The sequence below is a fragment of the Homo sapiens genome, chromosome 9 (genome assembly GCF_000001405.40).
Source record: "Homo sapiens chromosome 9, GRCh38.p14 Primary Assembly".
Taxonomy (NCBI): domain Eukaryota; kingdom Metazoa; phylum Chordata; class Mammalia; order Primates; family Hominidae; genus Homo; species Homo sapiens.
The window spans coordinates 124481099-124508532 of NC_000009.12; the positions used below are offsets into that span (position 1 = coordinate 124481099).

Sequence of the window (27434 nt, forward strand, 5' to 3'; positions counted from 1 at the left end):
GCCTCCTCAGAGTTTTGAAGCAAAGAGGGTCTGCGTGCCACCTCCATCCAAGTCAGAGCGCTGCCCCAACCTAGACCACCCGGAATCCACCCGGGCCGTTCTGCTTTGGCCCCAGAACGTACACAGGCAAAGGTAGCTGGAAACTAATTGCGAAATTTATTCCAGGGCTGTGGGGGCTGGGGTGATCCTTAAGGGCACTTCTCGTTTCAGGGCTGTGGGTCTCCGGCCTTGGCAGGGGCACATGTTTCAGGGGGCGGGGAGGGGAGGTACTGAGACAGGGTGGCGGGAGGCGGGAGGCAGGAGGCAGGGGTGCCCAGTCTCCTCCAACTGGGCAGGCTCAGCACAAGCTGCAACAGTAACATGAAAGCGGGACGGACAGCAGGCACCCCGCCGGGGACAGGAGACAGCCGAGGCCTCTCCCTGGTGCTTCACCCTGCAGAGTGTCCTTCATGACCTAGGACAGGGGGTCAGGGAGCTGAGGGCCAGCTTCATGGGTTTGCAGCAAGGGACCCAACGGGTTGGAGCCACAGAGAGGGGATCAACAGCGCTATCCCTGATCTACAGGCCCGTGCCCCCTCCCAAGTTCACTTGCATTCCCACCCACAGAGACCTGAAGCCCCCAACAGGGCATCCTGCTGTTCACCTAGTGGGTGGAGGGCGGGCAACAGCGCTTCTCTGGATTGGGGCTGGGGCTCAGAAGTAATGACCCAGCACCACCCCAAGGGTACTTAGTAGGCGAGTGTCCGGGGAGAAACCGTCAGCTGTACTTAGTGGCAATCCCCAAGCCCCAGCTTCAGTCCTCAAATCTGTCCCCTTCCCTCCATCACACACACATTTCAAGGAGTGTCTAGAAGCTTAAAAACAAAAAGCGGGGAGAAAAACCTCTTGACTACAACCTTGCAGATAAATACCAGCCTGGGAGGGCCACCTCTGGGTGGGGCTAGGATGTCGATTGTACCAAACGTTCTCCTTGGGTGGGAGAGGGAATCAGTGATGCCTGGAGCAAAGTTTTTTCCCGATGATGTATCAATGCCCCCTCTTGCAGAGGTCAGGTGGGGTAGAAGGGCTAGGGAGAAGGTCTTTTTGTCCTAACCAGTCTCCTAGTGTCCTCTAGGGCCCAATAGCCCCTCTCAATTTAGCAAACTCGGTTATCCTTAGTTTACAAAACAGAGGCTCTCCCTCCTGGTCTCTATGGGGGGAACACTGGAGACCCTCTCTCCTCCCCTAGTTGATACCTGCTCAACTTCTCCCTGTCTGTTTCCAGGAGAGGAGGAAGGGATGACCTCTGATCCAAGGGACGTCGAGGCCCACCAGGGAATCCCGAACCTCCTCCCCGGACCTGCAGGCTTCAGACTCCAGGAGAGAGAGCTGGGAGCAGGGAGGGGGCGGGGCGGGTGGTTAACAGCCACCTCCTTGGGGCACTCCAAGCAGCAGGCAAGTGCCAGTGGCCACTCCACCTCCGCCAGGCCCTGCCCAGCCTCACCCACCTTCCCAAACACACAGTGTCAGAACTCAGGGGCAGCGGCCTCTGGGACGGGGCTGGGGCTCCTCGGTGGGCATCAGAAAATGAACCATGCGGAGCCAGCGGTGTGGCTGCGGCCCCGCCCAGGCCCCGCCCCCAGTCCCGCCCCCAGTCCCGGCCCCGCCCCCGGCCCAGGCTCAAGTCTGCTTGGCTTGCAGCATTTCGATGAGCAGGTTGTTGCGGGGCATCTCGTTGCCCAGGTGCTTGTGGTACAGGTACTCCTTGGCCTGCATGCTCAGGGCCCGCACCTCCACCAGGCACAGCAGCAGCTGCTGGAATTTGTCCCCGCAGTGCGGGTAGTGGCACAGGGTGTAGTCAAGCAGGGCGGCGTTGGCCTTCTCCTGAGCGTCTTTCACCAGGATGTGGTTATTCAGGAACTTCAAATCTGCAAAGGGAGGTTCTCGGTCACCATCGCGTCACCATCCATGCCCATCAGGGCTGGGCCAACACCGTCACCAGCATCACCAATACCACCTTCCCTATGACCATCAAAGACATGGGCATTGCTGCCACCAACCATGCAACATGGTCTCCCCGTTGGCACCGTGTCGCCATCACCATTGCTGTCACCCTGGTTGACAAACACCACCATCGTCACCAATACCCACATGCCTGTGTTTTTCATGAACATGGCCACCGCCACCATCAACCACCCAACCACAGTCACCTGTCACCATCATCACTGCCATCATCATCACCACAGTGGTCACAATGAACAAGAATTATGAAGCCCATCACCAGCCTCCCTCGGGGAGGATCCCTGGGCAGTTATTGAACCTCTCGGTCCCCCATCTGTAAAATGGGCGTGACGACAGTACCAACTTCACAACCTTGTCCTGAGAATTTAGGGAGCCGCTGTGTGGAAAGTGCTCTGAAGAACAGTGTCTGGCACGTGAGAAGCTCGGTGGGTTGGGTTAGCTGGCACCACAATAATGCCATCACAATGGGAGCTGCTCTCACCGCCGTCATGGCCAACCATTGCTGCCATAACCAACACCATCCCCCTGGCACGATCAAAGCCATCTTGTCTCCATCATCACTGATGCCTCATCTCCATGACCGTTGCCATCCGCATCCCCACTCTGCCACCATCACCACTGTCACCCCATCAGCACCACGCCCACAGAGGCGCACTGTGGGTGGGAGTATCCCATCTCATGCTGCAATGCAGGAGGACTGGTGGCCCCATTCTAGAGGACAGCTGGCATGTGCTTTTAGTCTCCCCTATGACCAACAGACAGGCTCCAGTACCCCCAGGAAGGACTCTCATGGGGCCATGGGGGAGCATGCACATTCACTGCAGGAGTGCAGATGCGCTGACATCCTGGCTAACCTATCGCAAGCTGAAAATATCGTAAGTCAGAAGGCATTTACTATGCCTGACCTGCTGCACATCACAGCCTGGCCTACCTTAAATGTGCTCAGACCACATTACCCTACAGTTGGCAAAATCACCTGACGCAAGCCTATTTTACAATAAAGCGTTGAACATCTCATGGGGTTTACTGAACACCATGCTGAAAACGCAAAACAGAAGGGTTACATGGGTACTCCAGGCATGCTTTCTGCGGAATGCATGTTTTTCAACTTCTACACCACCGTAAAGTCAAAAAATCCTAAGCCAAAGCTCATGAGTCAGGGGCCATCTCTGCTCATGGTGGCAAGGAGGGGGCCTGGATGGCCACGTGGTGACCGCACCCCAAGGAGTCGTGTGCAATAGGCAGAAGTCAGGGAGCCCACACAATGCAGGGCAAAGCCTGGGACTGAGCGGAAAACAAAAATCACAGAAGGGAGGTCAGGATGAGATCGATAAGGCTCAGCCATGTACATAAACTAGAAATGCTTGTTGGCCGGGCGTAGTGGTTCACACCTGTCATCCTAGTAGTTTGGGAGGCCAAGGTAGGTGGGTCACTTGAGGTCAGGAGTTCGAGACCAGCCTGGCCAACATGGTGAAACCCCATCTCTACTAAAAATACAAAAAAAATTACCGAGGCATGGTGGCGCGCACCTGTAATCCCAGCTACTTGGGAGGTTGAGGCTGGTGAATCAGGTGAACCCGGGAGGTGGTGGTTGCTGTGAGCCGAGATTGCACCACTGCATTCCAGCCTGGGCAACAGAGCAAGACTCTGTCTCTAAATAAATAAATAAATAAATAAATAAATAAAGCTTGTACACAAAGCAGACGTGCCATGGGAAGACAGGGGCAAACAGGACGACCCGCATTAAACATCAAGGAAGGGCTCCCTTTGGGGAGGGGTGGAGGGGGTTTGGCTCTGCGTGCACCAATGATTGAACAGAGGAGTGCAACTGATGTGTCCGCCACACCCGAGGTGCAGTGAAGAGACAGAAAGTAAAATGTCTTTGGAGTGAGACAGACGTGGATTCGAATCCCAGCCGCTGCTGAGGTGCAATGCTACCTGCCCCGCCCCGACTTGACCAGCCTTCCTCCTCCCTGGAGGGGGAGAGCCAGGGTCAGTTTCTTGTCACCCAAGTTCCTGTCACAGCTTGCAGGCCTCTTTCAGCTCCTGGGCAGCATTTCTAGGAGGTGCCCAGCCTGGGGGCACAGGGTCAGCAGGAACCCACAGAATCTGTCCCCAGGCCTCAAATTCTAGCCTGGCCTTGCCTGGGATGGGGTGACCAGTGGCTCAGAAAATGGTCATCCACCCACTTCTCCTCCACCCCATCACCCCCAGCCCTGCAGCTGCGGGGGCGTCCAGAGGCAGCATGTGCAGCCCTGGCCCCCTAATCCCCCTTAACACCCGCTGCACCAGGAGAGCGCCACGCTCCTGGCAACCCTGATCCCTGGCCGCCCCCAGCGCGCCTGCTGAGGCCTGTGTTGTCCAAAGTCGGATTTAGGGAAACCGGAGCTGGGCCCGGGGGTGGACGGCAGGACCTGGCCTCCATCCTCCCAGCCCAGCCCAGGCTCCTCACCCTCCCTTCTGAAGCGAGCCAGGAGCACTTTCTTCCTCACTTCCCCAGGGTCACCACTAACCCTGAAGGCACCTTTATGCCAATTACATGGAAGTTCCCCGTTGTCCAGAGAGATGCTGCTATATCCATCCCAACGCCTCCTGGCCCAGGTGCTCTTGTGCAGTGAATGACCTGCCCAACTGTATGGAACAGCCCTACTCCCTAGCCTGGGCTGCCCCAGACATATTCAAAGGTCATGGGAAGTCATGTCACCTAGCTGAGCTCCTGCTGGCCCCATCCCTGTCCCATCTGCCTTCGCTCCCCACCATCCTGGGCTGAGCAAGTCTCCTGACATTCTCTTCTGACAATTCATAATGGGGGTCCGGAGGGGGACAGGGACCAGCTCAAGGCCACACATCAGTAAAGGGTCCTGGAGGAAGCAGCTGGAGTGGGGAGGACCGGCCAGGATACCGCAGTAGGGGCAGGGGCGGGAGGGGGCTGGGGAAGACCAGGGCCTCGGCTTTACCGGGATTTACTGTTCTCAGCAGCACTGCGCCAGGGACACCGAAGCGGGGGTGCGGGGGTGGGTGCAGAAGGAGGACAGGTTTCAGGGATGCCCCCACCCCCAGCAGTTCTATGGCTTCCCAGCTCTCAGCAGGTTGGAAACCCCCGACTGCCCCCAGAGGTCAGCCACAGGGCCGGGGGAGGGAAGCACAGTCGCTAACGGAGCCTCAGTGGCTACAGTCCAGAAGCCCAGACCCAGTTTCCCGGGCACCCCCCAGGCACCTTGCACCCAGCTCGGTTCATCTCAGCAGACATCCAGACAGGCAGGGCAGTGCATCCCCAGGGCTCAGGGAACCAGGGCCCCCTCAAGACACACAAGGTGCCAGAGCCTGGATTCAAACCCAAGTCTCTCTGACACCAAAGCCCAAGTCTCCCATGATAGGCAAGCAGGACTGGGGCCCCCTGCCCAGGAGCTGGGTCAAGCTGGGATGCATGTTCCTGTGGGATTGGACATAACTTTATGTCCCATGCCATCCATGAGTTCTGTCCGAGATCCCCCACCCCTGGGGTTCTAGGATTCCCCCAGAGAGGCTACTCTGGACTCTAGACTTGCCTTCCTCCTCATCTGGAGACCTTGTACAAGTCACTCCCCTTCCCCAAGCCTCCCTGAACCCCCAGTCTCTAAAGAGATCATTGTGAAGATTCCAGCGGATAACACATGTGACGGTGCCAGCAACGCACAGAACACCACACCGTTCTTCCAGCAGACACGGGAGCGGGGTCAAACAAACCTGGAGACGCCCCCTTCATGTGTCAGGGGTTCAGATCCCGGCTTTACAACCAGCTGGGTGACCTTGGGCAAGTCACTTCCCCTCTCTGAGCTGCAGTTTCCTGTCATCTGCACAACAGGGGAAAATTCATCTCTGCCTCACAGGGTGGCAAGGAGCTGGCTCTCATCTGCATGCCCAGCTCTGGGCCCTGGGCGCCCGAAGGTTGGAGACCGGCATGTTGGAGAGGAGCCTGCGCCCCCCAAGCCCGCTCAGCTCCCGGCACTCGCGGAGGTGGAGGTCGGAGGGAGCTGGGAGATGGAGCCCCCACCTCGGAGAGCAGCCCGCTAGCTCTGCAGAGCTGGGGGCCCCCAGGTTCTCAGAAAAGCCCCCTTTTCATGGTTTAATTGAATATTTGAATAATCCTTTCATTCCAGCGAGGCATAAAGAATGTTGTCCCAATAGCGGTAACTCAGGCAGGCGCCCCCGCGCACAATGGCCCCTCGAGTGGGGCTGCTATTCAGGCCGCCTTTTGTTGGCGCGGAGCAGTGGGTAAATTGCAAACGCTTAAGGGAATGCTGCTGCCGCCGCCTCAATGGAAGTCAGGAAATCGAATGTTAGGTCAATCCATTAAGCTTCGATTAAGTCCTCGGCAGAACAATGCCAGCCGGGCCCATCTTCATAAATACCGTGATTGCCAGGAGAGAGGCACTAATTTTAATTAAACCTCCTTACCTGCCTCCGCGCCCTCCCGAGACGGCTATTTAGACACCAAATGGCACCCTTATGCGGAGGCAGGCGCGAAGGAGGCGCTGAGTGAGCCGCAGGGCGGTGGGGCAGGTGGGGGAGCACAAGCACTCGTGGCCAGGCTGTCCGGCCCAGGGCGGAGCCGCCCCCGAGGGGGACGCCCTGCGCGCCAGCTGGAGGTCTGCTGGCAAGTGGCGGTCCCTCTCCGGGTCCCAGTTTCCCTGGAGCCCCAGCTCTGGTGGTCTGGGTGGGATCAGGAGAGGAGACCTCTGCTCCAGACCCTGGAGTCTGCTCCAGCCCAGCCCCAGGTCTAGCCTCTGCCAGGGCTCTGGGCTGCCTGCCTGCCATCCTTTTCCCATGCTGCACTTAGAAGGGTCTTGATAAAATGCGAATTTCATCATGTTACTGCCTGCTTAAGGGAAAGTTCAAGGTACCAGGCCCCGGCATTCAAGGCTTTGCACAGCTCAGCTCCTGTCCCCTCGCCAGCCTACTCCCCACCCCGTCCCCACCCCTGCAGCCACACAGAACTTTCAGGATTCCCCAGAACTTTGTGCAAGCTGTTCCTTGAGTCTGGAAAGCTATTAGTGCTGCTTGTTTTTTTTTCACCCAGAATGCTCCTATTCATACTGCTAGGCCCAGCTCAGAGCCCCCACCCCCCGGAAGCCTTCCCGGATAGCCAAGTGGTGCTGGTTTCTCCCCTCTGACCCAACCCTGATCACACTGAACTGATGGGGTTCCTCTCCCAACCTGGAACTGGCCAGCCAAAGGCCTCTGCAGCCCCCTACATCCCTCTCTCACTGCTTGCCATCAGCTGGGGTCCTGGAATCTCCTCCTGTTCCTCCTCTGGCACCCCCAACCTCACCAGGTTCCTGGCCTGCTGGGCTCAGGGCTCACCCACCCACATCAGCCAGACCCATGTTCCTGTGCCCAAGGATAAGGCACTGTGCCAGACACAATGATACAGATGGAGACTGTGAGCTGCTTCATTCATTCACTTCATTCTTTCACTTACGCATATGCACATTAACTTAATAATGGTGATTATGATTAAAACAATTCCGACACACACTTCCCAGGGGTCAGCCAAGCACTGGGACACTTTGGGGAATTCTCTTATTTAATCCTTGTAACAAGTTAGGGATTACTAGGAGGGTCACTCTACAGATGGGGGAAATAGAAGCTCAGAGAGGGGAGTGACTTGCCCAAGGGCACACAGCCAGAAAGAGACCAGAGACCAGATTTAGAATCCACTCCTCATCCCCACCTAGTTCCCTTTCCTAAGCGCTGTGCCACCTTGCTTCTGTCACACACACAGCACGAGTGCGCACGCACGCACCCTTCTCCCCTCAACTCAGCCTGTTCCAGCCCAGCACTGGAGCCTCTCCCACCTCTCAGGCCTCAGCTGCTGCATCTGGAAAAAAAGGCTGATGACCAGCATGACATGAGGGTGGGGCACTTCCAGTTTTGAGCACGCCCACACCTGGACCCAAGAGAAGAGGGCTCAGCTCTGCCATCTTCCTTAAGTCCCAGAGAAGGAGAAGTCCTGGATTCACCCCCGGCAGCCGCCAGAGCTATGCACAGGGCTTTGGTGGGAAGAGGGGCTGGGGGCCAAGACAATGTCCCTGCCCTTCAGGGGACACCCAAGGACAGACAGAGCCCTGGCAAAGGAGCCTGCTGGCTGATAGCCCACCCTCCACCTACCCCTCCTTAAGGCCCTCCCAGTGGCCTTGTGATGGCAGCCAGGTCAAGAACTCTCACCTTACAAACCACCCGGACTCCCGCGGACACACACTCCAATTCTAGGTGCCTCCAAGCACCACCCTTCCCCACAAATTACTCATGTTCCCAGATCTCCCGGTCCATCCCCAGTCACACACAAACTCTTCACACAGGCTAACACTTCAGAAACCACAAGCGTATGAAAGTTCATCGTTTGCACATGCCAGCACGCACGCATGCAGAGACAGACGTTCACGTAATTCCTGCAGGCTCCACGCCCCAACCACACAGACCCCCACCACGCACATCTGTGACTCTATCCTGTGCCAGTCTGCTGAGCCTGGCAGGCTGCGGGGAAGGTGCCGTTGCGGGCAGAGGTAGGAGGGAGCTTCCCCAGCTGCAGCCAACCGAGCCTGGGTCCCTGAGGCTCCTGTAAGGATTTCAGGCCACAGCTCCTAACTGGCTGCCCAAGATCCTACCCGCCCCCCACCCCAATGGCTGTCCCCTGCTGACCCCTGCAGAGCCCCGGCTGGTGTCCTGAGAGGTGGCTTAAGGTGGCCTTGCAGATAAGCCCTCCAGTTACCAGCCTGTTCTGCCAGAATCGGGAGACCCAGCCCACTGCACCCAGCCACATGGCATGGAGGATGTCACCAATCCCACCCAAGCACTGGGCTTCCCACTTTTCGTTAATCCCCTCTGCCTCCACAACACTCCCCACTCCCCACTCCTCCCTCTCTCTGGCAGGCATGCCCCTCGCAGACTGTGACTATAATGCCAGCCACCAAGACAATACCTTAATCCTGCCCCCTCTCCAGGTGATGAAGCACTCACTCATCTCTATCCCATCCCACCTGCATCACTGCAAAATAATTCATTCCCCCAGAAAACTCCTACTCATCCTCCAAAACCCTGCTCAGATGCCCCTCTTCCAGGAAGCCTTCCAGAAAGAGCTCTGCTCCCCACCCAGGGTTCCCTAAGCCACACCCATCTCTCTGTCTCAGCCCTAACCACCCAGGCTGTAGGTCTTTTCACGATTGGCAAGGGACAGCTATGTCCTCAGCATCTCTGGGCATGGGGAGGGCATTTGTGATGGCTTTCCAGGGAGTGAGGGTGCAGACTGGAGTGGCCCAGGCAGGGTTGGGGTCAGGAGGGCAACGGGAAGGAGACCCCCCAAGTGCTTGGGGAGTGAGGTGGGTGGCCGGGCTGGGCTGGGCCAGGCCTGCTCTCTGCCTCTCCTCTGCTTTCTTTTCCTCCTTAGCACTGGTCACAACCTTCCTGGCTATGCCTGCCTAATCGTGTTAGGAACCTACGTCTTACTAATCATATTATGCTCATGATCTGTCTCCCCTAGAGAAGGTCAGTACCACAAGGGCTGGGCTTGGGGGGTTTTTGCTCACAGCGGTATTCCCAGTGCCTTCTCCAGTGCAATTTCTCGGTGCCTGTTTGTAGAGTCAATGAATGGATGCACGTGTGCATGAGCAAAGGGGTCCAGGCCCCCAGGAGGTACAGTCAAAATTGGGGCCCCCTAGATCCAGGGATTAGAGAAAACAGGGACCCCAGGATGGGAGCCTGGAATAAAAATCCTAAAGTCACATGGGCCACCAGAGCGGGAGCAGCCCCCATTTAAGAGCCAGGCCCTGGCCGGGGGCCCTCAGACCTTTGTTCACTGAATGAGTAAGGGAGGGGTCCTTTCTCCCCGAGGCTCCTTCGTGGCCACTCTGGCCACAGCAGGGCTACCTCTCCAGCCTCACCCACCCTCCCACCCACCCGCCTCTGGCTGTCTCCACCTCTCTGTCACTGGAGCTGCACTCACCCAGGCTGAAGAGGATGATGAACTTGAGGCAGACAAACTCCTGCCGGTCCAGCTGCAGCGCAAGCAGCTGCAGCACCAGCTCCTGCGCCCGCAACACCAGGCTGTGCAGCAGCGAGCCCGCCTGGGTGGCCACTGTGGTCAGCTCCACCTGGGGGCAGAGGGCACGGGGCGGGGGACAGTCAGAGGACGTGGGTCCGGGCAGGTGGCTCTCTGATGGGGGATGCAGGGCTGAGGGCATGGATTGGAGGTGCAGGTCAGATGGGCTGGCGTCAGGAGGGCCCAGCCTTGGTGCCGAGCCAGGCACGGGTAACATCTGCACAGCCCCGGGGACGCTGCCGGGCCCACCCTTCCGAGCTCTCCTCAACCCGCCAAGCCCGGAGCTGAGGCACCCACGTTCTGCCCGCGTCCACCCCTCCTTCACACACAAACCCCAGCACCAGGCCCAGCAGCACCAGCAGCTCAGGGGGCCCCTCTACATGCTGGGAGGGGAGGGGTTGGGGAGGGCAGGCCTGTGTGGGGACACACAGACACATCCACATGGCTTCCCAGAGCCCCCATGTTCACACCTACACGCTGGGTCACAGCTCAGCTCAGAGTCACACACACACACACACGAGCACAGTCATGGGGTCGCCCACTCTGTGAAGTGAAGGCACACACGTGTGCACACGGCCACACCCGCCCTTGTACGCTCACACTCACGGCAACACATACACCCATGTATGTGATCACATTTACGGGTTGATGGGAAGACAGTGACACCCACACACTGATGTGTGTGGAGATTTTGCACAATAAAACACAGGCAGGCACACACACACACACACACAAACAGGCATTCCCATGGCCACAGAGACTCAGCCAGCCTGCGGACACCCACACTTCATGCAGACTGCAGGCACCTGCGCTCACAGGGAGCCCCAAAGACACCCCCCTGGGACCAGTGCTGCCCGTCCCGTCCTCCTGCCCCGATGGCCTGTGACACCGAGGAGAGAGCTGGAGATGAGCAGTGGGGGCCTGGGAGGGCTGGAGCTGGGAGCAGAGTCTGTCTTCCCCACCCCACAGCACCCACCGACCCCACGGCCCTTCCTGTGTCCCCACCTGAGAGTGGCACTCCTGCCAGCAGGCTGGACCCTGGCCATCAACCCCCTTCTCTGCCTCCCCCCCTCCCTCTCTTTCCCTACAGCCCATCTCTCCAGGTGAGTCTTCCTCCGTGGCTGTGCCCCCGTGTCCCCACCCTGGCCCCCCACCTCCCATCCTGACCCCTCCGCCTGCCTCCTCAGATACCACCTGGCCATGTCCCTCCTCCTCCTAAAGCTCTCCCCGGACCCCTGCTGCATCTGGACTTTCTACTCCCCAGATCCTCATTCCCTGCTCTAAGGGGGCCCAAATTCCGACTCTGAGCTCTCTGGAGCCCTTTGCCCATTCATTCATTCATTCATTCATTCGAGATTTAGGGCCTGCAAGGTTTGCCTGCTAAGCCAGCACTAGCAACCCCCTAGCCTCCCTCATCTCTCACCTCATGCCACCCCCACACCGGCACCAGCAGGGCCCGGGGGCTCCACACTTCCACCCTCTCTGAGCCTGCGGTAGACGTGGGGACTGCCCCCCTCATCCCTCATTCCCCAGCCAACTCCAGTGTGTTATTTCCAGACCCAGGGCCACCATCACCTCCTCCTCCATGAGCCTCTCCTCACCATGCCCACACCCCCTGAGCTGCTCCCCAAGAGCAGGGCTCCCAGGGGCCGGCGCCTCTCAAGCCTGGGCCAGGGCTGCTCACAGAGGGTTTGGGCCAGTGGGTGTTCCATGAACGTGGGGAAAGGGCTGATAATTAGGGTGCCCAGAGCCAGCCCCGAGAGGCCTGGGTCCTCCTCTCCGGGGCCCTGAATCCTGGAAGTGCACAGCGGGGCCAGGGCGGGGCCCAGGGGCGGGGCCGAGGGACTGGTCACCTCCTGCCCGGTGACCAGCAGGATGCTGCCCTCCTTGCCGTGCTGGACCTGGCGGTAGATGTGGTCGAACACCAGCAGCTCGCTCCAGCAGTTCTGCAGCAGCGTCATCTGGTCGGCCACCTGGAAGGAAGAGGCACGCGGGGGGCCGGGCTCCAGCCAGGGTCCAGGGACCTTCCTCTCACCCCTTCTCCTCCCACTGAGACCCAACTAGGCGTGCAGCCTGGGCAAGCTAACCTCTCTGTGCCCATCTACCCAGATGTCTAGGCTATCAAAGTGCAACAGAGGTCTGGCCAGTTAACAAAGGGATGTTTGGGGGTTGAATGGGCCAGGCTTCAGGCCCCACCTCTGTCTTTTGTATGACTTTACGTAAGTCCTGGTAACCTTTCTGTGCCTCAGTTTTCTCATCTGTAAAGTGGGCAAAGTACTGAGCGGACAGTCCAGTACATGTTAGGTATGCCATACATGTTAGTGACTAATGTCCATGCAGGTGCTCTGCAAAGGACTCCTACAAATGCCTGGCAAGGTTATTATTAATTTTAACCTTGTCCACATTTAAAAGCCTGTGGTCGGTCACACCTCTGGCAGCCCCAACTGCTCAAACAGGAGCCATGAGGGAGAAACCAAGGGCTTCCCCCCCGGGCCTACGCAGAGCTCTCAGGCTCAGGAGGAGGAGGGAGGTCCCACCTGGCCTGAGGTCAGGCCCAGGGCATGAGCAGGGGGGCGGCAATGGCCTGGCACATGAAGCAGAAACGAACAGCAACAAGGGGCTGATTCCGAATGCCCAGGCTGCGGCCAGAGACACTCGGTGCAGGGGCAGGGCCAGCCCCTGTTTGGAGTGTCCTTTGACTCTGCAGGACTCAGAAGCAGAGCCAGGGATCCCCTGGCCCCAATCCCTATTTTTCAGCTGAGGAATCCGCCACCCGGAAAGGGCAAGAGACTCTCCCGGGATCACACAGAGGCAGGGCCAGGCCAGGGCCACGGCTGGCATTCCCGGTCCACAATCTCCACTGTGACAAAACGAGCCCTTCTGGGTATTTGGAAGCACACTGGGCACTGCAGATGGGCCTGGGCAGACACAGCCCCATCCCTCTCAGCCCGTGCCACTCACCAGCTGGCCACCATCGACCCAAAAGACACTTCTGGCGCACCTTCCTGGGCCGTGCCCTATGGCAAATGCAAACCATGACAGCTGACAGTCATTCCACTGCAGCCCTACAGCCCTGCGAGTTTCGTATAGTCGCCACCCACATGATAGAGAGAAGAAACTGAACAGAGAGGCCACACAGCTCTGTCTAGTTCCAGATTTGCGCTCTTAACCACTAGGTGTGGAAGAGGACCTCTCACTCACCCTCCTTGCCATCCAGGAGTTCCTGGTCTCTCACAGGCTCCTTGCCTCCTCTACAGATCCTCTACCTGATCCCTCTCCTTCCTCGAGGCCCTCTCCACCCTCTGGATGCAGAATCTGCAACATCTCATGGCATCAGTTAAATGCCTCTGTCTTCACCAATACCTGTGAGGTCTGGGGAGGCAGAACTGGTGTTCAGCTCTTCTCTGGGCCCCAGAGCAGTGGTCAGAGGGGCTGATGACTGGCAAGGTGCTCCCCAAGACAAGCACAGAGAGCAGAGGGACCACTGCCCACCTGGGGCCAGAGACACAGAGAGGCCACTCCCCACCTGGGGCCAGAGACTCAGAGGGGCCACTCACCACCTGGGGCCAGAGACTCAGAGAGACCACTCCCCACTGGGGGCCAGGGGCTCAGAAGGGCCACTCCCCACCTGGGGCCAGAGGCACACAGAGACCACTCTCTACCTGGGACCAGAGGCTCAGAGGGACTGCTCCCCACCTAGGGGCGGCCCCCAGTCAGAGGGGAACTGGGCCAAGCCTAATGAACAGCTCTGTCTCGTAGGAGATAGAAGCACCCCGCTCTCTGTTCCCCTTCTCTCCTGGGGCGTCCCTGGGGCCTGTGTCCTCAGGCAGACAGAAGGGGAGAAAAGGAGAGGGAGAAGTCAGGAACTGCACACAGACAGACCTCCGGGCCCACGTGGTGGAAAAGAGGGAGGTCTGTGTCCATTCCCTCCATCCACACCTCACCTCTGGGTCCAGAGCTCCCTCCAGCTCCCAGCAAAGCTTTCTTCCCAGAGCCCCTACCATCAGCCGTGTGCCCCCAGGCTCAGCCCTGACTGGGAGGGTCCCGGAGAGACTGAGGCCTGGGCAGGGGCTGACTCGGCCATCTCTCCGTATCTCTCCTTGGAAGTGCCAGCCCCCATGGAGCCGCGGTTTCCAGGAGGGAGCCAAGGCTCAGAGGGCACCTATCACCAGGCACGGCGCCCAGTGTGGCACAGGACACCTCACCCCTGCCCTGCCGACATTCTGCCCACATTACAGATAAGGAAACAGAGGCCTGCCGGAGGCAACACTCGGGCTTCAGGCAGCTGGGCTCTGCCCAGAGGTTCCTACCGGCCAGACTTCTGGGGACCTGAGAACCTCCTGAGACCTGGGAAGGAGGGGCCTGCCCAGGGGTCACACTGGCAGCAAGAAAAACTCAGGCCCACCGTAGACACCCAGGTGGTGGTGCAGGGCCAGGCTTGTCCCCCCGCCCCTCGCAGGCCCACAGGAGCAGACACGCTTGCGCCCAGAACGAAGACACAAGGGGGTGGGGAGGTGGCGGAGGAGCGATAAGGGGTAGAATGAGGAGATAAGGCTTCAGGCCAAAAGCAGATGGGTCACGGTGACCCGGCTGGCCCAGCCCTGGGAGCAGGCTCTGTACCCAGACCTTAGACCCTGGATGGGGCAGCCCTGCCCAGTGAGGCTGATAGGGGTGCCAGGGGCACAGAGCCACAATATGGTCGCTGAGGCTTTGGTGCCCCGTGCCCTGCATTCGAGCCCCCATCCGGCCATGCATCCTCCACCCTAATTTCCTGTTTTGTGAAGCAGGAAATGTAATTTCTCTCTTTTTTGGTTAAAACGTAAGAACACACATTGGGATGTATGGGAATCGGTGGACCTGCTGTTGGTTCTTACGTGGATGCTGCCCGGCCGGGATCCCACCTGCCCCTTGGCCAAGCAGGTCTTGTACTCACTGCTTTCCTTGGGTGGACAGATGGATGCATAAAGACACCAAACTCCAAAACACTCCCCACACAGATGAGAATGCGCACACACACACACACACACACACAACCTCTTTTTATTTAAAAGAAAACCACAGGGCCATAGCTGCCAGCCCCCCTGCATGAGAAAGCAGGTGGCTAAGAGGTTCCTTTAACCAGAGAGGGTTGGTTTTCACTTTCCGAAGTTTCCTCCCTAAGCTAAAGGCTCCTCTACCCTCAGGCCTCCTTGTCGCCCTGGGAACAATGACATTTGCAGCCCCAGCCCTTGGGTCTCCCACCAGCCTGGCCTGTCTGCTGGGCACATCAGCCATCCACCCCTCCCACCGGACCGCCACAAATCTTCCTGGAGCCTTGACGCTCTGCAGGCTGCCTCAGAGACCCGGTATTTATGGGTGCCAAGCTGACCTCCCTCCCAGCAGGGCCCCTCTGGAGCCCCCTGGGGTCCGATTGGTCTGGCTGTGAAGGCCGGTGGGCTGTGTAATTCTCTGGTGGCTGACACACCACGGGCTGGCCACTGCGCTCTGCCGGCAGAGTGGTCAGTGAGGTGTCATTTGTCAGCCCAGGACTGACAGTTACTGCCGCTTAAATGAAACCGTCTATCTGGGCAGTTAAATCTGCTGTCAGTGGGGGCCTCGGAGCTGGATGTTGAGGGTGAACGGATGTCAAAATGGGTCACTGGGCACTCCTGGCCCCCACCGTCCCCCCGGGTCCTCCCTTGCATCCTCCCAGCCTGTCCTTCGCAGTAAGTGACGAGAGGCTGACTGCCTGGGCCCTGGGCACTGCTGCCCACCAAGCAGCAGGTACAGGTGAGTTTCTTCCACCTCACAGGGAAAAAGTTGCTTTATAAGCGCAGGACAAAGTGACCCTCAGACGGTCCCAGAACAATCGTGTGCTCAGAGGAGCTTGGGTCCAATGTGTCTCTCCCTGCTGCCTCCCCGCCAAGGCCTGCATAAGCCTGCAGGCGTCGATTAAACAGTGTAGCTAAGGGGAAGAGAGGAAGGGTGCTGCGACCCCACTTCCGAAACTGCCCGCGCTCAGTTCTTCCCCTGTCCTTACTCACTAACCCTTTACCACAATCCAATGGGGTGGACATTATTTCAACTCCTCCCATTTTCAAGACGAGGAAACTGAGGCCCGGAGGAGTGAAGTCACTTGCCCAAAATCATACAGCATGTAAGTGACAGAGCTGGAACTTGACAACAGGCCTCTCTGATTCTAGTCTTTGATATTCACTTCTGTGCTACTATCGAATCTACCATGCTGGGATTGGTGTGAGATGGAAACATGGAGACGGAGGGACCCCCATACCAGCTGGGAAAGAAGATGGGGGAGGAAGACCCCAAGAGGGCATTTGGAGCTCAGCATCGGACACAACTGGGCCCCTGGCACCCCTGAGAGCTCAGCTGAGACTCCAGGACTCCTCCCGAGCAGCAAGATGTCATCAGCATCAGAGGGCTGAGTGGGCCTCTGCTCAGAGCCCAAGCTCTGTCAGGGGAGCCCCTCCCTGACCCGGAACCTGGAGCCCCAGCCAGCCCCGCAGCCATCCATCACCCACTGCCCAAGGACCCACTCCTGCTCCAGGCTCTGCTCTGGCCCTGCCAACCTCTCCAGCCCTGCTTCACAGGCCCATTGGAACTCCCGGAACACGATGCCTCTTCACATTTCGGGACCTTCGCCTCTGCTGTGCCCACTGCCTGGAATTCCCTGAACCTTCTCTACTTTCTAGAAAGGCACAGAACTGTTCTCCGACTTCCTTAGTTAGAGCTGTTTGCTCTCCCCCCAGGGTCCCCTCTGCCCCTTCCGTGGCTCTCAGAGCCCTGGGCACCTCGCACTGGCATTATCTAAGTGCATGTCTGACTTCTCCTCCAGGCTGGCAGCTTCCTGGGTCCAGATGATTTTAATGTCCCCAGTGTCCAGCCCAAGGGCTGCTCCACTCTCAGAGCCAGAGAGCCCCCTCTTCTGTCTGCTAAGATGTGTCCTGTCTGGAGGTGGGGAAATGAATGATCAGCTAGAAGAGACGCCGGAGTCACCCACACCCCTCCCACTTTTCTGTCTCCTCACCTCTGGACTTTGCAAAGAGACACCAGCCCAGGGTCCACTGGACCAGTGGAAAAGAACTTCCACATGGCTTACGAGAGGCGCTCTAAGGGCTGGGCTGGTACTTATCTGCAAGGCCCCTTTAGAGAAGCTGGTGACCACTGCTCATAATCCCGGGCTCAATTCAAAGACTTTGAGAAGGGGAAGCAGGAAGGTTTGGACCACGGAGAAGCCAGAAGCAGGAAAAAACACTCAGCAAAGCTGGGACAAAAGCCCTTCCCATCCTGCGTGAAAATCCCCGGGAGACTAGGAAGGCAGCCAGAGGAAGTGCCCTGCCCCTCAATCCAGGGTTCTGGAAGGCCGGGAATGCCCTGCTCCTCCTCCCCTCTGCACGGGGGGTGCATGGGAAGTCTGGAGGGAAGCTAGCAACCAACCCAAGATGCTTGGGGTCCTCATCCCCACCAGGGCCTCCAGCCATGAGCAGAAGGCAGGTGGGAGTATTCAAGACCCTGCCTTTTGCCTCATCCATTAGGTCGGACCAGAGAGGCGGGCAGTGTTGAGAAGGGGCTGGGGTGAGAAACCCACCCCATGACAGACACATGGTACATCCCCAGGCCTCAGCCATGACAGGCGCTCCACGGTGGAAGCCGTAGCCACCACCATCAATCCTCGACTCCCAGATGGCCCAGGCCCCAGTCCCGCGATGCCCCTAGGGCTCGGAGCACCCACCCCCACCTACCAGCCAGGGCAGGCAGTGCCCCCAGCCCATCCGGCCTCATGCCCCTGGAGGAAGCCCAGGCCCGAGTGGCGTCAGCATTGACAATGCTGCTCAAGGCTGCAGTGGCCCCAGCAGTGGGGGCAACGGGCCCTGCTGTTTACACCCAGCCCCAGAACAGCCAGGGGGTCAGCCTGGGAAAGCTAAACACCAATAGCCCTGGGTGAAAGAGTGCCTGAACCCAGGCCAGGGAGGGGCAGGCCTTGGTCAGCTGGAGGGGCCTCTAGGGAGGTCTCAGAGAGCCAGGGCACTGGAGGGGCAGTTCTGGGGCCTCAGGCTCTTCAAGCCACTAGGTGGGAAGACTGGGAAGTTCTTTCCTATGTCTAGCCTCAGTTTCTCCTGCTGCTTTCCTGATTACTGTAGCATCAGGTACCTCGACCCAGGGGGAAAGAAGGCCATGCCATAGAGGAAGGCTGCCTCGCCAGGGAAGATCAGTGGCAGACCCTGGAATCCCCCACCCACCTACCTATCTAGCTTCCTGAACACCCACACACATGCACATGACCATCCAGCATACGCAAGATTTGCAGAGGCAGGAGGATCTTTCACCTTAGCTGGGAAGGAGAATGGCCCACAAATGCCCCAAACTCTAAAACACTAAGAGCCCCCATCTGTGTGTGACACTGCCAATCCTTGCCAGCCTCCCTGAATGGGAGGACAGGATGGGCCGGACCCCCTTCCCAACACTAGGCTGAAGCCTGGGGAGGCAAGACAGTCTCCCAAGGACTCAGCTAGTCCTTTGAGGGAGCCCAGGGTCTCAGAGAATGAGGGAAATGAGTACTGAGAGAGCCCCAGAATAGGGAACCCCAGAGGCTGAAGGGGTTGCAGAGACACCAAGAAGCAGAGAGACAACATGCAAGGGAGAGACACAGTAGGAAGAGACAGAGGCAGAGATCAAAGCAGCAGTGGCTCCTTGAGCAGAGGCTCAAGGAGGAGAGAAGGAGAGGGAGGGAGCGGGGACCCAGGAGGCTGTGATAAGTGGAAATGCTCCTTAATGTCCCCAGGGTGGCCTCCGGGTCCCCAGGTACTGCCTGAAGCCAGTGGGAAGGATGGCCCTATCCAAAGGACAGTCGGGCTAAGGCTTGGGCAGCCGGGAGGACCATGATGCAGGGCCAGCCGGGCGGGAGGAGAGACTCACCTCCAGCTCCTTGAAGACCATGCACCTGCGTGCCCAGTCCACGATGGAGATGAAGGTCTGGTCGGCCATTCTGCACAGGAGGCCGAAGGCCGCCGGCTGGTCGGGGCGGCTTTTGGTGGGCTCCTGCAGGCAGCCCAAGATGCGGGCCCGCACCTGGTCCTCATCCGGCTCCAGCTGCAGCAGCTGCAGGATGAGCTCAGGCACGTTGGGCCCTCCAGAGAAGGGCTCTGGGTAGCCGTACGGCAGCCCAGGCTGTGGGGGGCTGGCATAAGGCTCCGGGTACTCAGACTTGATGGCACGGCCAGGAAAGGCAGGGTAGAGGTAGCCAGCCAGTGGCCCGTGGGCACCGGGCACGGCCATGGGCAGTGCTGGGGCCCCAAAGTCGCCCAGTGGCCCAGCAGGTGGACCGGCGGCCAGGCCCTTGGGCTCAGGCCCATGCAGGCTGGGAGGCAGCACGTAGTCCGGTGCGGGAGGGGGCGGCGGGGGCACCCCCATCGGGGGCCCTGTCTCCAGCTTGAAGCCATTGGCCCGAATCTGTGCCTTCTTCTGCTGTTTCAGGGCCCGGTCCCGCTTGTACATCGGCCCAAACTTGTTCCGGCCACCCCTCATACGGTCAGCGCGCACGGCTGTGGGCAGGGGCAGAGGGTCAGACTCACCCTCTCTAAGCCCCCTTCCATGCTGCCCCACCACAGATCCTTTCCAAACAAATCTGACCGCTCTCTCCCCTGCTCAACACCCTTTCATGGCTCCCACTGACCACAGGGGAAGTCAGTCTCCTTTGCCTGGCATTCAAGGCCCTGCTCAGCTTTTCAGGCAATCCCTGCTAAGACCCCTCTCCTTCCACTCCACCGAACTCACCTCCACTCCTCTGTTTGACACATCTCCTTCCTCCTCCACCCTGCCTTTCATTTTCCTTCTGACTCAAACTTTTTTTTTTCTCTTGTGCTTGCTGAACACCCAGCCTCAATGTCACTACTTCCAGGAAGCACTCCTGGATTCATGCAAACGGGCTCTACTGTCCTTGCCCCAGGTGCCCTGTCCTTGCCCACTCTTATCATGCTGAGTGGATCATGCCATGTGCTCCTGCGGGCTAAGTTCTGGGCTCAGGTGTCTAGCATAAGGCCTGGCAGGGAGATGGTGACCGGAAGGGGACCCTGGTCAGCCTTGTTCACCGCTGGCCCCAGGGTCCAGCTGTTTGTTGACTGACTGCCTGACTGTTGAGCTCCTGCTTCAAAATGACTCAAGTATCCTTCACTGGCTGCGAATGTGAAGCCAAGTTTAGAGCTGGCCAAGGCTCTATGCTGGGGGAGGGGACCTCTCTTGCCGACTAGAAGCTCCTCCGCCTGGCGAGGAATGTGTCATCAGCCAGACCCAACAGGTACATCTCTGCAGCTGGAGTGTGCCCCCCGCCCCTGCTCAGACAGGGCCCCACCCTGGGATCTGGGCGAGGGGAAAGAGCAGGAGAGAGGGGGTGGTGGTGCTCAGCAGGGATGATGGCTGGGGGGCTGCCTGGCCAATCTTCCTGCCCCCTGGGGTGGGCAGCGCTGTGCTGCTCGCAGGCTGCACGGGAGTTTCTACTGCCCACAACAGCCAGCTATCTGGCCCCTTGGGACCTGGCACTAGGGGCATGGGCTCTGGGGACAGGACAGGATGTCCCCTCTCCCATCCAGGAGTCCTTTCTCCAGGTGGCAGGGCATGTGGTCCACCACTCTCAGAGCCACCTGGGGCTTTCTACACTGTTCCAAGACCTTAATCAACCACTGCCTGTTCAGCACACAGTCCAGTGACCGGCCACCTCCAGAAGCTCAAATCTTTCCTGCCAAAACTTACCTCCTCCTCTCTGGGCTGAGAGCTGGGGTTGAGGGTAGGGAGGCAAAGAGGGGCCTGGGTTTCTTGGGGGCAATTCAATTGTCCCCCACTGCCCGGCCCCCTCAGGGCCTGGCTAAGAACATGACGGGAAGGAATCTCACTGGCTGAGCCAATAAACCAGAGAGCCCTTTGGATGGACGGACAGACAAGCAGATGGGCAGCTGAATGTGTGGGGGCTGGGCGGTGGTGGTGGGCAGATCCTAATGGAAAGCGTGATGGGCTTGACAGCTAACCTGCGGCAATGAACGCCTAGGCACCTTCAGCTTGCCTGCACCGATCCCCACACTCACTCACTGGAGGAAGGCGCTGCCGTTAAGCCCATTTTTCTTTTCTTTCTTTCTCTTTCTGCCTTTTCTTTTCTTTCTTTTTTATTTTTATGTACTTATTTTTTGAGACAGGGTTTCCCTCTCGCCCAGGCTGGAGTGGAGTGGTGTGATCATAGCTCACTGCAGCCTCGACTTTCCAGGCTCAAGTGATCCCCCCACCTCAGCCTCCTGAGTAGCTAGGACTACAGGCACATGTCACCACGCCCAGCTACTTTTTTATATTTTATAGATACAAGGTTTCTCCATGTTGCCCAGGCTGGTCTTAAACTTCTGGGCTCAAGTGATCCTCTTGCCTCAGCCTCCCAAATGCTGGAATTACAGGCATGAGCCGCTCCATCCGGCCAAGCCCATGTTTCACATGGGAAATCTGCGGTTTAGAGAGGTTAAGGATTTTGCCCAATGTCACCCAGCCTGACTGACAGTGCGGGCACTGGGACTTGGCCTCTGCTGGCTGGGGTTGGGTATTTTGGGGGCATGGGGACCTCCTCACAGAGGGAGGAGCTCTGCCGACCCTGTGCTGGGGCCCTGGCAGGGGCTGGGGAAAGAGTCATCTCCATAGGGTTCACTTTTGGATACTTCTCAGCCCAACCCAGGCTGGCCTTGCCAGCGTCCCTTCCCCGCCCGAGGCCCACCCAGCGCCAGCGCCCGGTTCTCTTGCAGCGACTGGGCCCTAATGTCGCACGAGGGGCCTTCGCGAAGGCCAATGGTACTATCCCCTCAGCCCCTCTCCCACCCCCACCCCCTACCCCCTCAGGCTGTGGGGGGTCAGGGGTCGAGGCCCGCGCGGCGCGCACCTTCCAGGCGCATCCCCACCGTCAGGCATTTCTGGAAGCGGCAGAAGGGACAGCGCTTGCGCTGCGTCTTGTCGATCTTGCAGCTCTGGCTCTCGGTGCACGTGTAGTGCTTGTTGTTCTGCACCGTGCGCTTGAAGAAGCCCTGCGGGAGCTGAGAGTCAGCGAGGCCCCGCAGCGCCCGTCTGCCGCACCCCTGCCGCGCGCTCGCCGCTCACCTTGCAGCTCTCACACGTGAGCAGTCCGTAGTGGTAGCCGGACACCTTGTCCCCGCACACGGGGCACAGCTCGTCCAGGTCCTCGTCGTACGAATAGTCCATGCCCGCGGCGTCCGCCTGCGGAGGGACAGCGGGTCAGGGAGGGCCGGCGGAGACCGGCAGCCTGGGGTCCCCGCGGCCGCCGCCCCAGCCGCTGTCGCCGGCCCGTCGCGTAATCCCCTCTCTGTGCCCAGGCGCTGCCGCCGGCACCCACCGAGCGCCCCGCGCAGCGTCCCGGGGTGGGTCCGGTGCAGTCCCCGCGCCCGGCCTTCCCCTGCCAGGCCCCACGCTCCCGCCCCGTCCGGGGGGCTCCTCCCGCGCGGACCCCGTCGCGCCCGATCTGGGGCCCTCGGGTTCGATGCGCTTCGATTGGGATTCGTTTGTCTGAGAACAAAACCCCGATTCTGAGAAAAAGAGATGGGCTCAGCCGCGGGGAAGACGCCAGGGGACCCAGGAGCGCTGGGGCGCCCGGCCCGGGTGTTCTGGGAACCCGACAGAGACGAAGGAGGCAGAGACAGAGTCCGGGGGAGCCAGAGATGGGAAGAAACTCTGGCGAGAGACAACGACCGACGCCACCGGGCGCAGACACGAGGCCAGTCCGAGAGTGCCAGAGACACAGACACTGAGACGCCCAGCTAGAGAGAACCCGGCGGGGACGAGACACAGGGAGGGATGGAGAGAGACAGGGAGACAGAGAGAGAGAGAGAGAGAGAGAGAGACGAGAGAGAGAGAGAGAGAGAGAAACGAGGGGTGGGGGATTGGATCAGAGACTCGGAGAGACAGCGGAGGCCCGAAGAGAAAACCCAAGAGAGACTGACGCAGAGCCAGAGACACAACGATAGACGACAGACAGAGACGCCGAGACGAGAGGAGCCCCGGAGAGACGAGGCCGGGGAGCTACAGAAACACGGAGAGAAAACCTGGAGGCGGAAGCGCCCAGCCCGAGGGTCGGGGACAGGGGACGCGCGGAAACCTGCCGGGCAGGAGCCCAAGCGCCAAGGCGAGGCCCCGCAGGGTCGGACCCAGACGGGGGCCCGGGCCGCAGGAGGCGGAAAACGACGGCGCCGGGACCGAGAGCCCGAAAACGCAGAGCCGCCGGGACCCCCTCCCCGGGGGAGACAAAGCCGCAGCAGCGACGGCAACGGGAGGCGCAGCCCGAGCCGCCGCTGCCACCGGGACGTCGGGCGGGGAGACCTCGGGCGGGGGTCGGCGGGCTCCGGGAAGCCGAGCCCGAGGCGAGGGAGCGACCTCGGGCGGAGAGGCGAAGTCCGGAGGAGGGAAGCGCGAAGAGCCAGGGCCCGGGACGCGAGAGGGGGCGCGACGGCGGCTGCGGTCGGCCCGGCGCCCACCTGGTCGCTCCTGCGAGCAGCGCCCCGCGTCCCGCCCGCGCGGAGCCCGCACCTCTCGGCCGCGCCGCCGCCGCCGGCGAGGAGCCGCACCCGGGCGCAGCGCCGCCCGCCCGCGATGACGGCCGCTCGGGCCGGGGACGGGGAGGCGGGGGCGCGGGGCTGGCGGCGCGGGGGCCTCGGCTCCCCCCTCCCGCCTCCCCGCCCCCCATCCTGCCTCCCTGTTCCCCCCCGCACCGCCGCCGGGGCCGCTCCGAGGCGCACCTGGGACCCGGGCCCCTCAGCCGCCACCCCGCCCTGCGCCAACCCGCCGCGCCGGGGCCGGGGGCCGGCCCCTCTATATCGGCGCGTGCGGTATCCGGGGGCGGAGGCCCGGTCGTGTCCTCCCCCCAAGCCCGGCCCGCGCCGGCACCCTCTCCGCAGTCCAGCTCGAGTCTTCGCCCTCATCCTCCAGGCCCCCCAGCCGCAGCCCGGCTCCCCGGACCCCGAGCGCGGCCAGAGAGCTGCGGAGCCCGAGTGCCCCGCGATCTGGGCAGGTATAGGGCAGTGGGGGCCTTGGGTCACCCGCCTGCAGTGGGAGGAGGCAGCTCCTGTCTGTGAACCCAGCTGGGTCGTGGCGAATGCCACGCGGGTGGCTGGTCGCACTACAGCGTGGAAGTGGGTAAGGGCGAGTGGCGACCGTGGCCGAGGCTCGGATTCACGGGTGGAAGCCAGATTCTCCCATGGGGCCCACCACATCTCCTCACTCGAGCCTGTAGCAGCTCTCTCCCCGTCTCGGGTCTTCAGTTGCCGCATCTGTGAAGTGGGTAGATGACCGCTCTTCCTCGCTAAGGGTGGGTCGTGAGGATGAACCCAAGCAGTAGGGGCAAAGCACGCGTGTGGCCTGGCGGAAGCGCTCAGTGGCGCCCCTCTGGGGAGATCTGGGGCGAACCCCTTCTGCTCGCTAGCCTCAGGTCGCTGGGCTGGAAATGGGACTCGTGGAAATCCCATTTTACAAATGTCCGAGGCCTGGGGGGACCCGAAGCCTCTACGGGCGCAGGAGCTGGGAGAGGAGCCCGGAGGCAGGGCCCCGCTGCTCCCCTCGGAGCTCTCACGGGGGGGTGGGGCGAGGAAGAAAGCGCTGGGCGGTCTTGGGGACAAAGGGGTTCCCGGGCCTATGGGCCAAGCAGTTGCTCTGGGCTAGGGACCATCCGCGGGGCCACTGTTTTTCAGCTGGAGAAACGGACCCGAAAGGAAGGGGCCTGCTTGCATCCTGCCTCCGCCCCCGCTGGCACCTGGGGTCAGAGAGAGTTTGGGGACCATGAGGCCAAAAAGCTGCGATCTTCAAGCAGGAAAATACCGCAATTTTGCATTGACAGCGGCGCAACCCACCAAAAGGCTCCATCTGGGCTCCCGCCCGCCTGGAGGCCTCGGGCTTCGGTTGGAGCTGGGCCTGGGGCCTGCAAGTTGTGGCCAGAGAACCCCCCGCGCAGACCGCACTCAGCTGGCTCACCCACAGAAGGAGCAGAACCCGCAGACTAGCTGTGCAAGCTCGGGCAAGTCACTTCTCCTCTCTGAAACGAGAGCCTCAGTTTTCTCCGAGCATAAAGTGGAACATGTTGGCTTTACAGATGGGGTACTGCGGTTTCCATGCAAGAATCTTGGATGAGGAGGGAAGAAAGAGCCAGAGACCCTGTTAATCGTACCCCCCGCACCCCCAAACCCCTGAGAAACAAGAGCATCTGCCCGAGCTGGAGGTGGGGGTCACTGCCGCCTCTGAACAGCTCCCCACCACAATGGAGCCCTCAGACAGTGACTGCAGGAGGGAAGGGGGTTGGTGGATGATGGGCTGGGGTGCCCCAGTTGGCTGTTCTAAGGTAGAGCTCACCCGAGGTCTCCTGGAAACCTGGAGCTGGACACACAGGCCCCAGCCGCCGGGGTTGGGTGGGGGCTGGGCTCAGGCCCTTCTCCCTCTATCTCCAATCCCCTCTCCCCAAGGGTTTCTACTCTCACCGGCTGGAAGCCCATGGCTCCTCTGCACTCCAGGCTCCGAGGCACCCACCCCCACAGGTTCCAGGTTCCAGCCCACCGCCTGGGGAGTTCCAGCCCCTCATCCACCCACCCAGGGAGGGAAGCCTAGACCTGGCCCGGCCGCAGAACCCAGGCTGACAGATGGATGCCGGAGACAGACACACGGATACACAGCAAGACTCAGAGAGAGCCACAGAGACAACACAGAAACTCAGGTGGGGGACAGAGCCCCAAGACAGGCCCAGAGCCCTCCAGACACACTCACAGACCTCTAGGCTCAGACCCACACAGCCTGGTGGATGCCTGGCCAGAGACAGCGGGACACCAGCGGACCTCCATGGGGCTTGTGGTCACAGGCCTGGCTCCTCCCATCGGCAGCCCAGGGAAGAAGAGGGGGTAGCATGGTGGGAGGGTGAGTCTGGGAGACCCCTGGCACCTTCCCTGCCCAGAGCAGGGGGCACCGGTCACTAAGTGGAGCAGGCAGTGGCCGGCCCAGGCTGCAGGGAGGCACTGCAGAAGGAGGCTGGCCATTAGAGGCCTGGGCCAAGGCCCTCACTTACGAAGCGGAAGCAGCGCTCTCACACCGGATGAGGGTGGCAGTGGGCACCAGGGGTCCAGGGGGAGGCTCCGGCAGCCCAGGTGGGACGGTGGCGACTGTGGGTGCGCAGAAACCCCCTCACACCACGGCGGGCGGCAGCCGGACAGCAGGCTGGCCCTGTCCGTCCGTCCTCCTCCTCCTCCCCGCCCTGGTGGGGGGGCCACCGGAGGCCCAATTGGTCTCTGCCCCCACGTGACTCTGCAGGCCTCTCGCCTTCTTTGTTGGTGTTTCTCTTCATTTACGTCTATTTTTTCTTCTTCTCCTAAAAGAAAAAAAATACCCCTATCTATCTGGGGGCTGAGGGTGGGGGCGGAGGCCAAGGCACTGCAGAGGCCTTGGCCAGCTGGCTGTTCCAGGCCCGCTGTGGGAGCCCAGAGGCAGGGACCCCACAGAGGCGGGTAGGCAGCCCCGCTTGTTAGAAACCGGGTGGGAGTGGGGCTTGATTTATGGGCTGCTCCCCCACCCGGCCTGCCGCCTGCTCCTCTCTCCTTGTGAATGGCTACCTCCCTGGGGCCTGGCCTGGCATGGTCTGGCCCAGCCCGGACATTGGAGTAGAGTCAGGACAGGCCAGTGCGGAGGCAAGGCCATGGCGACTTGACTAGGCGGCCTGCTGCTTCCACCTCTTTTTCCTCTTCCATCAGGTGGAAGAAGAGGGGGGCCGGAAGGGGAGCAGGTGAGCGGCCTGGACACCTGGTGCGTGCATGCCACGGTGGCCTCTGAATGTCCTCATCTGCTGTGGGCTGCTGATGTTCCCAGTCGATGGCTGGAAAAACTGAGGCTGGGCTGAGACTGCCTCTGAGGCCAAGTGGTGGCTATAGTGGCCCCAGGTTGAACCAAGTATGAAGCTAGTCCAGGATAGGACAGGGTAGCAGGAAGGGGCCCTTATCTAGAAGGCTAGGCCTCCCTAGACAACCTGGGACGTCCCCATCCAATCTCTGGGCCCAGATGGGCTCTGAAATATCCTGTTCCTGTAGGGCCCGGGTTGCAGGGTGTTGTGCCGCTCCCACGGTGACTGGATCTTTTGTGTGTTCCTCTGTTTGTCTCACATTTACTGAGCGCACACTTAGGGGTCAGGCACTGTTCCAGGCACCAGGGATCCCATAGGAAAGAGAAGAAAAGTCTCTGTCCTCAGAGGATTTACCTCCGTGCCTTTCATCTTGGGAGAGCAGGGAGGGGCACAGGGTGACTATGGGGCAGTCACTGTTGAGAACCACCCCTCCTCCCACATATCCCTTCATTGGAGGAA

The 27434-nt window shown here is 60.3% G+C and overlaps 1 protein-coding gene across 1 annotated transcript, besides 13 other annotated features; it reads right to left on the bottom strand.

Moving 5' to 3' along the window:
* Positions 138-26301, bottom strand: NR5A1 (nuclear receptor subfamily 5 group A member 1). Its single transcript, NM_004959.5, has 7 exons — positions 26151-26301; positions 22196-22312; positions 21981-22122; positions 18992-19617; positions 11932-12051; positions 9983-10130; positions 138-1907 (listed from the first exon to the last, which is right to left on the bottom strand). The coding sequence occupies exons 2-7, from the start codon at positions 22295-22297 to the stop codon at positions 1660-1662; spliced, it is 1386 nt and encodes a 461-aa protein (NP_004950.2). The 5' UTR covers positions 22298-22312; positions 26151-26301; the 3' UTR covers positions 138-1659.
* Positions 842-1619: an enhancer, noted in NCBI's record as "H3K4me1 hESC enhancer chr9:127244219-127244996 (GRCh37/hg19 assembly coordinates)". NCBI's record gives its function as "activates a minimal SCP1, AML or CMV promoter by ChIP-STARR-seq in naive H9 embryonic stem cells {active_cell/tissue: H9 hESC(naive)}" and the evidence as "EXISTENCE:reporter gene assay evidence [ECO:0000049][PMID:30033119]".
* Positions 5350-5527: a silencer, noted in NCBI's record as "fragment chr9:127248727-127248904 (GRCh37/hg19 assembly coordinates)". NCBI's record gives its function as "represses an EF-1alpha promoter that drives an FKBP-Casp9 reporter gene in an ReSE screen in phorbol 12-myristate 13-acetate-treated (for megakaryocytic differentiation) K562 erythroleukemia cells {active_cell/tissue: K562(+PMA)}" and the evidence as "EXISTENCE:reporter gene assay evidence [ECO:0000049][PMID:32094911]".
* Positions 15164-15213: a silencer, noted in NCBI's record as "silent region_20263". NCBI's record gives its function as "represses an Ori minimal core promoter by ATAC-STARR-seq in GM12878 lymphoblastoid cells {active_cell/tissue: GM12878}" and the evidence as "EXISTENCE:reporter gene assay evidence [ECO:0000049][PMID:35858748]".
* Positions 19960-20461: an enhancer, noted in NCBI's record as "H3K4me1 hESC enhancer chr9:127263337-127263838 (GRCh37/hg19 assembly coordinates)". NCBI's record gives its function as "activates a minimal SCP1, AML or CMV promoter by ChIP-STARR-seq in primed H9 embryonic stem cells {active_cell/tissue: H9 hESC(primed)}" and the evidence as "EXISTENCE:reporter gene assay evidence [ECO:0000049][PMID:30033119]".
* Positions 22359-23049: an enhancer, noted in NCBI's record as "H3K27ac-H3K4me1 hESC enhancer chr9:127265736-127266426 (GRCh37/hg19 assembly coordinates)". NCBI's record gives its function as "activates a minimal SCP1, AML or CMV promoter by ChIP-STARR-seq in naive H9 embryonic stem cells {active_cell/tissue: H9 hESC(naive)}" and the evidence as "EXISTENCE:reporter gene assay evidence [ECO:0000049][PMID:30033119]".
* Positions 22359-27287: a biological region, named in NCBI's record as "NR5A1 5' promoter region". NCBI's record gives its function as "regulatory_interactions: NR5A1".
* Positions 22370-27287: an enhancer, noted in NCBI's record as "NotI/BamHI fragment". NCBI's record gives the evidence for it as "EXISTENCE:reporter gene assay evidence [ECO:0000049][PMID:18579725]".
* Positions 26058-26381: a promoter, noted in NCBI's record as "-85 to +239 promoter". NCBI's record gives its function as "methylation-dependent promoter" and the evidence as "EXISTENCE:reporter gene assay evidence [ECO:0000049][PMID:17519303]".
* Positions 26125-26150: a protein binding site, noted in NCBI's record as "Ad4 site". NCBI's record gives the evidence for it as "EXISTENCE:protein binding evidence [ECO:0000024][PMID:10965053]".
* Positions 26252-26396: a promoter, noted in NCBI's record as "StuI/FspI fragment for -97 promoter". NCBI's record gives the evidence for it as "EXISTENCE:reporter gene assay evidence [ECO:0000049][PMID:10965053]".
* Positions 26368-26393: a protein binding site, noted in NCBI's record as "E-box probe". NCBI's record gives its function as "positive regulation of expression in endometrial cells" and the evidence as "EXISTENCE:protein binding evidence [ECO:0000024][PMID:18165439]".
* Positions 26378-26383: a transcriptional cis regulatory region, noted in NCBI's record as "E-box". NCBI's record gives its function as "required for promoter activity" and the evidence as "EXISTENCE:site-directed mutagenesis evidence [ECO:0005528][PMID:10965053]".
* Positions 26397-26419: a protein binding site, noted in NCBI's record as "SBM site". NCBI's record gives its function as "positive regulation of transcription" and the evidence as "EXISTENCE:protein binding evidence [ECO:0000024][PMID:18579725]".